Source organism: Homo sapiens, chromosome 4 (genome assembly GCF_000001405.40).
Source record: "Homo sapiens chromosome 4, GRCh38.p14 Primary Assembly".
Classification (NCBI taxonomy): Eukaryota; Metazoa; Chordata; class Mammalia; order Primates; family Hominidae; genus Homo; species Homo sapiens.
The window spans coordinates 174248798-174262499 of record NC_000004.12 but is presented as its reverse complement, the minus strand read 5'-3'; the positions used below and the strand labels follow the sequence as shown (position 1 = coordinate 174262499).

The following is a 13702-nucleotide window of genomic DNA, read 5'->3' as shown; positions in this document are numbered from 1 at the left end:
AGAAACTCTCACTTTATTCTGAAAATACCGCAAAGTTGTGGAGTGAGAATTTCTAATTTAAAAGTTGGAGTGTTCACATGCTGTGTAGTTTGTGCTTCCCATAGGATACCTGCCATCTGAATAATAGGCAGACTTCGAAATCAATGAATAGTCCTCAAATGTTACTGTTTTTAATTTTCTTCATATAGAGCCTTACATTTTTACTCAATTCTATATTTCTTCAAAGGTGCTTGTTAGAATAAAATTTAACTGGTGAAAATTTTATCTACTTTTTTTTTCTAACCAGCATTTCAATGAAGTAGGCAAATATTAGAAAGCAAGGGGACAAATAGTTGTTTTTATTTACTTGCTGAACTTAGATTACATAAATTTCCACATTGTACTAGTCTGAATTAAAACCACAAATCTAAGAACATTTGCTGGAATAGAATCTGTTTTATTGAACCTAAGTTACTCCTTAAATAGCATCATATACTTTAACAAAAAGTATAGGTACATGATTTTTTGGCCTAAAAATATTACCAAACATGGAATCATTGGATCTCAGACCTTCTAGCATCCTTTACCAAAGTTTATTTGTCTTATTATCTTGAAATAGGTCTTTATAAAAATATAGACTATAACTAAAAACAAATATCTTTTTAAGACTTCCTATAATTTCAAACTAGAAATCTAATTGAGAGACTTAATAAATTACAAACTTTAGTCAAAATATATTTTCAGTAATGACATTCCTAAATTAGGCTTTCTGATGTCACACAGTTCTAGTACAAGTTATATAGGTCATTTCTCAACCTCTAAATAGATAAAAATCATCAATATCATATCTTGTTATTCTTTTACTCATTTGTTTGACATAGTGAAAGTACTACGTGAGAGGAAATTCTGTTAATGAGGAGTCTTTAAAATAAATGTTATTAATTTTTTACTCATGAATAGAAGAGGAAATGAAAGTACTTTTAAACTGGCTCATTCTTTCTAATCTCTTTTCTACATTTTAGTATTCCTTACTAACTTAATTTCTGTTTGTTTGAACTTTTTTTAAAAGTTTAATTTCTAGCCTTACCTGAAGTCAACCAGAATGTATTCTTCATTTGGGGTTTAAATCTGAATTTTTCATTTGTGAAAGAAATATTTGCCATAATTATGCCTATTTTTATAATACTTGGATTTTTTCCTTAATAATAAATTGCTTCTATTTGAAATTAAAGGCTGGCTTAGTTTTAATTTCAACTTTGGATGTATTGAATACTCATTGATGTTGGGAAGTTCTCTGGTTTTCACAAAGCTTAGTAATAAAACTCTAGTTTTGGGTTTTATTGGGACTAGATTAATAAGACTGAAAAAATATTGATAATATTCTAAACAATTTTTTATACTTACAGTTTTGAGTCAGTGATTTCATTTGGTGGGTAAAAATAATGCAGCAGTATAAATCAACTACTAAGAGGGTAGTCTCATGTTAAATTAGATATTTTACCCCCTTGTCCTCACAATTTTTGATGTTATATGCTCAGACAGTAACTTTTTCTTGTTGCTCTGCACTTTGTGTGTTTATTAAAAGAAGGAAATCTGAGGCAGAAATTAATAATGAATATAAGAAAGTAAACAGTTTCATTTGTCTCAACAAGTAGCAGGTGTTTTTGAATACACAACAAATCAGATAATTTTGAGACAAAGACTCATCACAATTGTATCAGAATATAATTTCAGTATTCTCTGTTTCTCTAGAATAATGCATTTATATTTAAGGCTTTTTGGTGGATATCCAGAATTTCCAGGCATTATAATAAGATAAAACATTAACTTTCAAATAACCAGTAGCTATTGCCTCTGTGAAGAGTTAGAAAGTATCCCAATCTGCAGTGTGTTTTGAGATATGAACTGTTAGTATTTTCGGTTTTATAGAATTTCTAAACAATCATGTATCACTCTGATAATAAAGAACTAGTGTTTTTGAAGCAGTATCTTAAAAACAGCTATGTTGAACATCACAGCTTGATGAATGTATTCAAGTTGTGGCATTACAAACAATTTCTGTATTTAATTTGTCTGTTGTAACGTGTATTATTTGAAAAACAAAAGCTGTTTCCCTGCCCAGCATTCTTTTCCTCCCATTTAGTTTTATTTCACAATAGAGCACATAGGTTAGTTAATAAACCCTATTTAGATTCTTGGTTAATAATTGCAAGCTGTGGATTACTCATTGGGTTGAAATCCTGCATCTGTACATATTAGCCGTATGATCTTGGGCAACTGTTTTGTCTGTGTTTCTTATCTGTATCACCAACGTCATAGGATTGTTGTGAAGATTAGGCAGGCTAATCCAATTAAAATACTTGAAATAGGGTCTGACATCTAGTAAGTATTCAGTAAATGTTAGCTATTATTACTATTATTAGGAATAGTTTATGTTTAACTTCAGATAGTACTCATGAATATTATTAATCTCTATAACTCACATTTATTAGATGCTGTCAAAATTGCTAAATTTAAAGCATCTGTCATACTCTAGTAAACAAATAGAAAACAAGTACAAACTTAAAAATTTTAAACTTTAGAACTATAAAATTCAATCTTATTTCATGTTACTATTTTTGCATGTATATGCATATTTAACTTAGGAAATTAAATGTAGTAATGTTTTCTTGTCTCATTTTCTCTGATTTTATAGGTTGTGCAAATCCACTTGGGGTCACTGTTCCATATACAATAAGAACCCACCTTTAGGATTTTCTTTTAGAAAATTGTATATGCAGCTGGATGAAGGCAGCCTCACCTTTAATGCCAACCCAGATGAGGTTAGTGAAGAACTTGAATATTTGTATCCAGTGACCTTTATTACTATCTTGCTGCAGCTTTCCAATATCATAAACTAGCAGGGAAAACAAAAAGTCATTGAACATGCTTTTTTGATCACTGAGAAAACCAATATTTTAAACTATTGCTATGTGACATAGTCATTTTTCTTCGCCTTACCATGTCACGTTCTAACCTTTCTACCTGTTCACTTTATGTAGCAGCATCCATGATATATATTCAGTCCTCTACTGACCTGATTACAATATTAGTACATTATAAGTAGAGAGCACAAAAATTTGATAATAAGAACACAGAGTGTGTTCATCAGATTTTATCTGCAGCAGTTTTTTTCTGTTTATTGTTTTTCCTTAGTAGTGATGTTACTTTTATCAAAGATAATCATTGAGGACATTGTTCTATTTTCTGACAAATCAAAACGTTGTCTTCAAATAATGCCTTTAACAATATAATTCCATGTTGACATAGGAACTATTTATAGATTGTTATAAAATTGAATAATTTTGTATTAATTATTTAATTCTTTCTTAACATAACATGTAAGCATGATCAAAATGTGAAAACAACTTTTTCACTGATTTTTTTTTTCTCTATTCTTATTTTACTATGTCATGGAAAAGTTCAGATTTTCAGAAATGTTTAAATACTTACAGATTTATTCTTAGAAATCTAAGTGAAAATTATACAGCACTCAGAACTACTACTTTTGGGTGCATTATTTTTTGTGGAAAAATTTAATCTGCAGCATTATTTTAATTTACCTAATTTTCAAAAACAACTTTTTTTCATTTGTTGTCGAGGTATTAATGACAGTTCAAATCATACAGCCAAGTATTTTCTAAAGTTATCTTAACTTTGTTATAATTAGGGAAATGTTTCTCCTATGTAAAATATTTGAGTCTTAAACAAAAATACCAATTTTATACGTATGCATATAAAAATACCAATAATATCTTTTTCTAATCAATTGATTTTTACTTATGTATGGTTTATTTTTTGTTAAATTTTTATGGTACATAAATTTAAAATAAAATAAAATGCCATTGCAAAGGTTTACTGATACACTTCTTACCAGTTAAGTCATATCTCCAGAAATATAACAAAGTATATATATTGTAAAGCCAGGTATAATATTTAAATTCAGATATTTCTTTTCTTTCATCACTATTTAAAGAGGTATTACTGTCAATGAATAGCAAACTGATACCTTAATGAAATTAGAATGATTTATACGAAGTTCAAATTACACATTTACCAATATAATATTGCTTTTTAGAATCAAATGATCATTCTTCAGAAAGGCAAATAAATGGATAAACTATTTATCATAAATTTAAATGTTGTTATTGTGCCTTTATTGCACATTTTTTCTCATGCCTTTTATTATAAAATATACTTGTTTTCACCTTGTTTTTGGTCAAATCCCAGTTACTGTCCATGTAAACATATGGCAACATAAGAACGTCACTTTTTTTATCCTGCACTGTGGCATACCTGCTCTTACAAGAGATTCTGCTGCACTTACATATTCAAATGATGGCACAGTTATAGAGACTTTATTATTCTTAATTCTTTATTTAGACTTAAACATTATTTGTTGCTAATTAAAACAGTTCATATGATGAACTTTATAATAAAATATATATTTTTCAGGCCAGGCATAGTGGCTCATGTCTGTAATCCCAGCACTCCAGGAGTCTGAGGCAGGCGGACCACTTGAGCCCAAGAGTTTGAGACCAGCCTGGACAACATAGGGAGGTCCTGTCTCCACAAAAAATTTTTAAAAAATTAGCTAGGCATTGTGGTGCATTCTTGTGGTCCCAGCTACTCCGGAGGCTGAGGTAGGAGGACCACTTGAGCCCCAGAGGTCAAGGGCGCAGTAAGTTGTGAGAGTGAGACTCTGTCTCAATGATAATAATCATAATCATAATAAAGATATGTAGCCCCAGAGGTCAAGAGTGCAATAAGCTGTGAGAGTGAGACCCTGTCTCAATGATCTTAATAATAGTCACAATAAAGATATATATTTTGCATCAGTCTGTTGAGGTAATTGAATGATGATTGCTGGAGTAAAACTGAGGCAGAATGGTACAGTGCTGTACTGTACAGTACATAAGAATCAGGAGAGGCAGCTGTTTTAAGCCCCAGTCTTATTATGCCCATTTAATCAAGGCATGCTGGCTCCTGTCATGAATTATTCTGATGTTGAGTAAAACTGTCATCTTCAATTCATATCACTTTCAAATGTTACATTATAAGAGAAATGTAACCTGGTAAGTACTAAGTTGTAGATTGTTACAGAGTCAGAAAAGTTGGATGTAATTGCTGATATTGATTATGGTAAGTAGTCTTTCCTTGCTAAAGGAATGCCAATTTTTAAACAAATTATAAAGCAATCATTTTTACACAAAGATGAAAATACACATGGGTCCTCATATGCTAAAATGTTATATGTATAGGTTTAAATATCTAATTTGGAAAAGCTAGACATATAAATAGGTTTTCATCCTTGCAGCTACCAATATCAAACTATACAGTTCTTGTTAGTACCTCCTCTAGGGTGTTTGGAGAGGGGGCAGAGAAAAGAGCTCAAATTCAAGTTGTTTTTATATCTGACATAATTTTTTAAAATTATAAGTCAAATGTTTGTTAAGGGAGGGGATTTAAGTTATTAATTAAAATAAGATTTTTAGATCTTCAGATTTTACTTATCTATCCTACCTTCCATTGTTATTGAGAGTTGGCTGTATTTTCTTTTTTTTTTACTCCCTGGCCTGATTTAAAGATACTCTGGAACATTCCAGAGGCACTGAATTTATCATTCTAAAAGGGCCATGTAGTACTCCCAGGAGGCATAGAGCTGAGCCACTCAATGTGTCTTGAGGTTCCAAAATTCTGATTCTATGCTTTTATGAACATGTAATTTAGCAGATGTTACCTAATAGCAAAAGAAAATGCTATCTTTACCAGAATGCACTTAGGAAATATATAGGAAAAAAAGGACATTGCAATACACTTAATAAGGTCAGAGAAATGAGGGGAAGTAGTTCAGTGACTATATTCTGTACTTTCTTTCATTGACTAACATAAATAATGTTAACTTGGCTAATTGTTTACCAAGTCAAGTATTCAAAATTGAAATCATGTAAGTGAAAGATCCATCCTAATAAATGTTCTTATATAGCACTTATCTGTATGAGTCATACTTTAGCCAGACTTTAGAATGACTCTTGCCAAGTTTTTTGAGTGCTCAAAATTAGGCAGTACTTTTTGGAGACTGTATTTTGTTTTCTTTTTCCCCACTCACTGGAGCACTGTCATCAGATATATTATTTTAGGTTCATTTAACTCTGAGCAGTAAATTAGTTTTGATGATACGTTTAAATATGTGATGCTTTTTGCAAGTACCTGAGATAAGATGTATATAATTGCTTAGTATTGTAAAAAGTCTACTTTTTCATAATTTCCAGTATTGTACTTAACATTTTGATAGCAAACATCATTAAAATATTATAAAAATAAGAATACTTACAGCCACAGGGAACAAGATTCTCCAAAGGACACCGTTCATGTCACGGATATGGGTAACCAAGCTCCACAGCAGCTGCTGGCAGTGGCTCATGGGGTGGGGGAGAACATCTGCACAGTTTGTGGTACGATAATCTGGCACGCTGTTGTACTATGCATGACATTGTGATCTCAGCTGTATGTAACGTCTTGATCTTGTGCATGAGCTTGTGTACTTTGTGGCAGGTGGCCACATTCTAGTAAAGGAATGTGCTGAAAACCATCTGTTTACATTAAGTTGTATTTTCCCTGCATGTACAAGTTGTGTGTGTCAATTTTATTCCACTAGCAGTAGTATAATGAAGTAATTTTATTTAACAACCAGTAAACTATATTACTTGTGCTCCAATGTATATTAAAACACTTTCTTGACGTAGTTATTTTTAAATTTAGGATCTGAAAAATTGGTAGTGAACATGGTTTAACTTTAATATAGGCTTATTTTTGTTTGTGTAATTGTGTTTTTAAACAGTTTTTGTTTTAAATATCCTCATTGGGGTCAGATAACAAGTTTTTTTTTTTAATGACTATGTAAGCACATTTTTCTGGTATTTATGCAGAAATATCCACATGTGTATAATTTTATACATTTTACTAAATAATCTATTATAAAAATATTTTAAATTTGACCTATCCACATGTTTGAGGTAGAAATGAATATGCAACTTATTTTCAAGATAACATGTTATTTTTGTTATTGGACCAGCTAAAGTATAAACAGGAAATTTGTAGTTCTCCATTATAGAAAGCATTTCAGGAATTTACATTCAGTTCTTAAAAATAGTATCTCAGATATATGTTAATGACTTTTTGCTCCAGTATTCAACAACAAAATCGTCATTACCATTACTTCATAGCGTAGCAACAGTGGTGAAAAATAACTTTAACTTCTATTCCTAGGGAATGAAAACCCTCATGGGCATTATTAGAATGTACCAATAAACATTTCCCAAGTGCATTCCTTGGGAATACACAGTTAAAAAGGAATTCTTAAGTCTAATTTGAACATGATAGATTATGATTAGTTGGCTTATTTACAGCCTAACTTTTCAAAGCCGTTAATACTTTGATGTACATCGTGACTATCTAACAAGGGGGATGTTATATGCAATATATATCTAATTTTGTTTGACGTGGTGTTCTTTTTTGGGAGGAGGAAGGTAAAAACATTCCAGGGAATACATTTTGAAATAACCTAGTATAGATTATCTGTAATCCTACTGTGTATAAATAAATATTTTAGAATGGTTGAAATACCCTGTTGTTCACTTGCAGTTATCTGATGTAATCTTCTCTCTTATCAAAGTCTGTGGGTCTGTAATTGTTTTCTTTCCTTTGGTCTGATAGTACTTACTACAAAACAAACAAACAAACAAACCCTGAGAGTTGAATTGAGTCTTGACAGACTGAGAGATTTTTCCATTTTATATTTTGATTACCATCTGATTTGGAAAGGGAAGTATTACTTTGGACAGTAAGGGTAAGGCAATAAACCTGAAAGCAATATTGAATTCAAATAACTGCCTGTACATATTGATAAATATATCTGTGTCAAATAATTTGTAACTAATAGACCATTCATCATTATTTACTTGGTATCGCATTCTCTGTACTAACTCTTTTAAATCTTAGTACCTCCTGCAACACAGAAGTATTCCTAATGAAAGCTGACAGGCCACTAAGATACTTTTTACTTTAGAAAATATACTACCTTTTGAGGTTTTATCCTTAGTTCTATACATCTAGAAATTTGGCTTTATCTTTCTACTGAAAGTGAATCTCTCAGGAATAAACTTACAGGTAGTAGAATGTGAACCAAGTTGACAGTAAGACACACATACTTCAAACAATGCCAGATAGCATAAAGAAAGAGAAAGATAAACTCGAAATTCTAATTCTTGGCTGTGATATAAACTAAGATCTAGCTAGGAAGAATTGAGTTCTCAGCACCCTTCATTATGCTGCTCGACTCAGCATGTTCCACATTTTATGACTGGCTTCTTGCAGTACCCACTTCTCCCTGTATGTATCAGCTAAGATGTTTTTGGCTGCAAGGAACAGAGAACCTAAACTGTGACTTAAACCCTTTACATTTGTTTACTTCAAAAGAGTCCTGGATGCAGGTATCCCAGTTACTTTAGTGAGATGATGATCTCTTGATGGACCTGAGTGTGTTGACTTTCACCCTCTCTTGATAGCAAGATGCTACCACAACTCAAAATATCACTTCCCCCATAATAGTGTCCCCAGTACAAAGAAAGAGAGGCAGAAAAAGAAGCTTTCTCCTCATATTCCTTATACTTATTAGGGAGAAAAATCTTTTTGAGAAGCCTTTGGCGTACTTCTACTCATTTCTTATAGAACATAATTGAATCACACGAGCACCCCTAGAGCACTAGCGAATAGAATAGAAAGATTACATGATTGGCTTAGACTTATAATTCAACAACTGCAGCTAGGATGCTAGAAGAAATGAAAAACAGGGAAATGGCCTTTGTTAAGGCATCCAAGCATCTGTAACGCCATTTTAACTAGTGATACACTTAAAACATGTGATTCAGCCTTCCTTGTTTCTGGTCTCTGCTGGGTTAGAGGCCTTAGTATCCAAAGGAGGAACATTGGCACCTGTGGCACAACAATTTGGTTGGTAGCTGACCCTACCTTCTTGCCAGTTTAGGTCTTCCTGCTACTAAGCAAACATATCAAAATTTTAAAAGGGAGGAAGACGGGATAGGAGGGGAGGTGGTTATGCTGTGATTGAAGTGGTTAAGCCTGATAACCAGAGGGAAATACTACTACACAGTGTGGCAAAAGAAAAGGATATAGGTGGAACTCAAGAGATGTCTTGGGGTTCCTTCTAGTGGCACTATATCCTATGATAAAAGTAATTTTTTAAAAATCACACTGGGCCTACATGGCCAAGGCTTATAACTCACCATTTAGACTCCTCACTAGGGAAAGCACCTCAACCAGTTGTGTGGCTGGCTCATTCCTAGGGTCCAGAGTTGAATATGGATTCTTTATTCCAAGCTCCATTCACCTTGAAGGATGCTTTTATGGCATCCGTGTAATCTATCTCTTGACTCATGAGGTTGGAAAATATGTGTATAGAGAAAGATTTTTTAGATTTTTTATTTTTCTTGAGACAGAGGCTCACTCTGTTGCCCAGGCTGGAGTGCAGTGGTGCAGTCTTGGCTCACTGCAATCACCACCTCCCGGGCTCAGGTAATTCTTGTGCCTCAGCCTCTGGAGTAGCTGGGATTACAGGTGCATGCCACCACACCTGGCTAATATTTTTTTTAGTAGAGACAGGTTTGCCTCAAGTGACCCACCTGCCTCGGCCTCCCAAAGTGCTGGAATTACAGGAATGAGTCATCATACCTAGCCTATTTTTTAGGTTTAAAAAAGAGACACAAAGAGGTAGTATTGTCTGTGCGTGTGTGTGTGTGTGTGTGTGTGCATGCACTCACATGCACAAGTACATGTGTCATGTACACCTCTAGGCATTGGTATGTGAGAATATAATGGCATGACCATGTGCAGCCATCTGGTAGCCATGAGGGGTATTAGTAACCCTACCAAGAATAGCAGACTGGAAAGAAAGAATTGGGTCTGTGATGCTATCTGTGAGCCCAACAACCTGGAGCCATATTAGTTTGGAACTTCTTGTTATACAAGGTAATTTTATTTTTGAAGTAAATGTATCCCTTTATTTTGAACTAGGTCTCCTGTTGTTTATAACCAAAAACATCTTGATGTATTATTGCTATTATTATTATCCAGACTCTTAGGAGTTTGAGATGTAATCCTCAATGCAAATTTTTAAAAATAAACATTGCTAACTGGGTACAGTCAGTGGCTCACACCTGTCATCCTAGCAATTTGGGAGACCAAGGTGGGTGGATAACTTGAGCTCAGGAGTTTGAGACCAGCCCAGGCAACATGGTAAAACCCTGTCTCTACAAAAAATACAGAAATTAACCGGGTATGATAGCATGTGTCTGGAGTCGCAGCTACTTAGGGGGCTGAGGTGGGAGGATCACTTGAGTCCAGGAAGTTGAGGCTTCAGTGAGCCATGATCATGCCACTGCACTCCAGCCTGAGTGACAAAGCAAGACCCTGTTTCATAAATAAACATTGCTAATTCTCAGTAGCAGATCAATTTATCTCCAAATTTGCTGAAGGGAATTTAATCAGGGCAAAAGAAGCTAGATGACAGTGAGAGGAGTCCCTCACCAAATATGGCTTAAGTAGCTCCCCCCTCTGTAAGAACTGTTTACCCATAGGAGCTAAAATGCTGGAGTTTATGGCAGGCTCCTTCTCCTTGATCAGCATTAGAGTCAAAGTGAAAAATTATGCCTCTCAGACACTAAATAGCCTCTTCCTCTGCCTAGACAACTTAATACCTTCAAGCGACTAGCTACAATTAGTCAAATGGTGCTAAACTGGAGGTGATTTTCTTTTTTTTGAGAGTAATATGGTATGTGTGGATATGCATGTGTGTATGTGTGTATGTATCCATCTCTTTTTAATCTAATCCATCAGGTGATTTTATGGTTAAGAAGGCAGCTTTACCCTTTGCCTTTTAGGACAACTTTAGTTTACACCTTACCCTAACCATACTCTATCCCAGCCACCCTCCTTTTCCCTTTTCTCCCAGAGTCACTCCAACATGTGGTGTAGAATCAGTTCCCAGAGGAGGTTTGTGGACTCGGAATAAACCTTTTAGAAACTTGAAAGAAAGACAAATTTCCGAGGCCCTCTTCTAATCTTTATCTGGTTGAAAAAGAGATTCAGGCCCTAGAATATTCCATAGTTTATTCATCAATCAAACCACCTGATGTATTTTGCTCTTGTTTTATTCAGTGTGCTATGGGAACTACTAATTTGCTGTATCATTGAGTGTGAATTGTCTAGGGTAAAAACTGAAATTAGTGGAAAATGTCTTCATCCTAGGATACATTTTTAAATTTTTAATATTAAAATATGATATGCTACAATGAACAATTTTTTATTTGAATTTTACTTTTGTTAGCAATTTAAGTAATTGTAACTAGAGACTTTACAGTGGTACATTGAGCTTTTTAAGTGCATTTTAATGAAAAATCTGTTTGCTTTTTATTTTCTCATCATACACTACCTGACCCTCTTGATACCTCCCAAATATTTTTCCTTATCTATTGTGATCACAGTTTCAGTGAAACTTGATATTACTTCTAGATTTAAGTTCTCAGCTTTAATGTCCAAGGTGTCTGCCTCTACATGTCTTTCATGAATTTAGCAATTGTTACCAGTGTCACAGTAGATGTCACTTCAAAATATGAGTATTGTGTCAGAAACCCAAAGGATAATATTTCCTCAATTCTTGGATGTCATCAATTGTAAGACATCCATCAACTTACTTTCAGCTTTTCAAATATGGGAGTATGAAGGAAACACTACCTTAAGTGCATTTTTTAAAACCAGCTAACTGTAGTGTACATTTATCCATAAAACTATATAACGTTTTCTTCTTTTATATCATAAAGTTTTTAGAGAGATGCCTTCTTTATAACAAAATTCCTAAGATTTCTGTAAATCTCTTTTGGTTGTTAGCAGTTAAATATAGCATCAAAGTGATATGCTACTTTGGATTATTTGGATTGGTGACTCTGACCTTTGAGAATCTATAACTTGAGGTATTTCAAAGTGTGCTGGGGTTTTATCTGCCGCTAATATTTGATCCAGCTTATACATTTTATGGAAGGGGGTTGTTTTTGTATTTTTCCCTTGGTTGAATTATATAATCCTTGGAAGTTTACAGCATGTCTTGAAAGTCAGCTGGAAGCTTTGTACACGTAGATTCAAACATTCATTCAACAAATATTTATTAAGTATCTCTACCACTTACAATTTATGTAATGTTGGCTCTGAGCAAGTTATTTAACCTCTGTGCTTCAGTTTCCCCATCTGTAAAATGGGGACAGTAATAATACTTATAACAGTGTTCTTGTGAAGATTAAATGAAATAAGACATGTTAAACATGCCTCTAAGTGTTCACCAAACTGTAACTCTATGTTTATACTAAAGGTACAACTACAACAACTTAAAATACCAAGAACCAGGCACTGTTCTAGGCCTTGACGTTCTTCCTCTTCTTGAACTTTTGGATTCTAGTAGATAACTATATGACACCTGACGAATGGTCCTTCATGAAGTATGTATTGGTCACATCAATATCTCCTAGCTTTAAATGATACCCTTTGTCTTTAATTGTATTTTCTGACATGTATATGCAATCTTTTGCATATACAGTAACATTTTGTTTCAGTAGTGCTGCTGAGTTTAATCTTTTTGACATTTAAGCAATAATTAGGGGTCCAGAGTTATGTTAAAATTAAAATATGTGTCTTGGCTACAATGTTGGCAGGATGAACAGATACTTACGTTACATGATTAAGTATATACATGTGCTAGCAGTGAAACTACCATGTAAATCCCAACTTGCTTGTCTACTAGTAGACTTTTTTTAAAAATGTTGTTTACTTTAAAACTGTTTCAGAGCTGTTAAAATATATTTATAAATGTACATATTAAGATCTAGGTAATATGATAAAACTAGTATTTATGGGTTAGTCATTTAAACAGTTGTATATATGCACATTGCAAATCCAGTATTTGTATGTGATTCTTATAAAGCAAGAATTCTAAATTAGCTAGCATCATTGTTAAATGTGTCACTTTCTCATTAGTTTCAATTATTAATCATAACCTAATAGAGATTTATCTCCATATTTTGATTAGAATGCTTTCTTTTTCTAATATAGAGACAGGTTAGAGATAGAGGGGGCTTTTCCAAGAAGCGTGACTCAACTAGCAGCAACTTTTTTGATAATAATTACAATAATGATTGTTACATTTAATTGATAGTAGTAATTTATTATTTAGGAAATACTTTCTTAGCTATCATATTGATCCATCCCAGTCACTAATGTGGTTCTTTTGGGGGATATTAGAATTCACAGATGTTCTTTTTCTGTTTGAGGCTATTAGAACGAATTAATAGGGGCTTTTAATTATTTAAAACTTTAGAAAATTAGGTTCATGTTATTTTGTTTGCCATTGCTTTTTCTCTCTTGAAAAATAAGCAGGAAGACCTGTCCTATACCTCCTCTGTGTTTTCCCTGGACTCCATTGGAGGGAATTGTTATTTTTATTTAGATTTTCCTTAAACCATCACTCTTTTATGTGGGATTTTCTGTTGACATCTTTTAACTGCAGATAATTTCAGGTGTATATATCTCTGTCCTTAGCAGTTCCTCAGCATTCTGCTCT

General features: G+C 33.3%; 1 protein-coding gene across 3 annotated transcripts in view; it reads left to right on the top strand.

Annotated features, from left to right (window-relative positions):
• FBXO8 (F-box protein 8) overlaps positions 1-13702 on the top strand; it is a 47010-nt gene that overhangs the window by 21168 nt on the left and 12140 nt on the right. The window contains exons 2-3 of one of the 3 annotated variants that reach the window (XR_007096390.1): positions 2675-2801; positions 12458-12584. Coding sequence is in view for 2 of the 3 variants with exons in the window: in XM_047450062.1 (XP_047306018.1) it covers positions 2675-2801; positions 6355-6408 (181 nt within the window). In the remaining variant the exon portion in view is untranslated. Of the gene's footprint in view, positions 1-2674; positions 2802-6354; positions 7642-12457; positions 12585-13702 lie in introns of those variants that run through there. The other 2 variants (XM_047450062.1, NM_012180.3) reach the window with 2 other exon arrangements.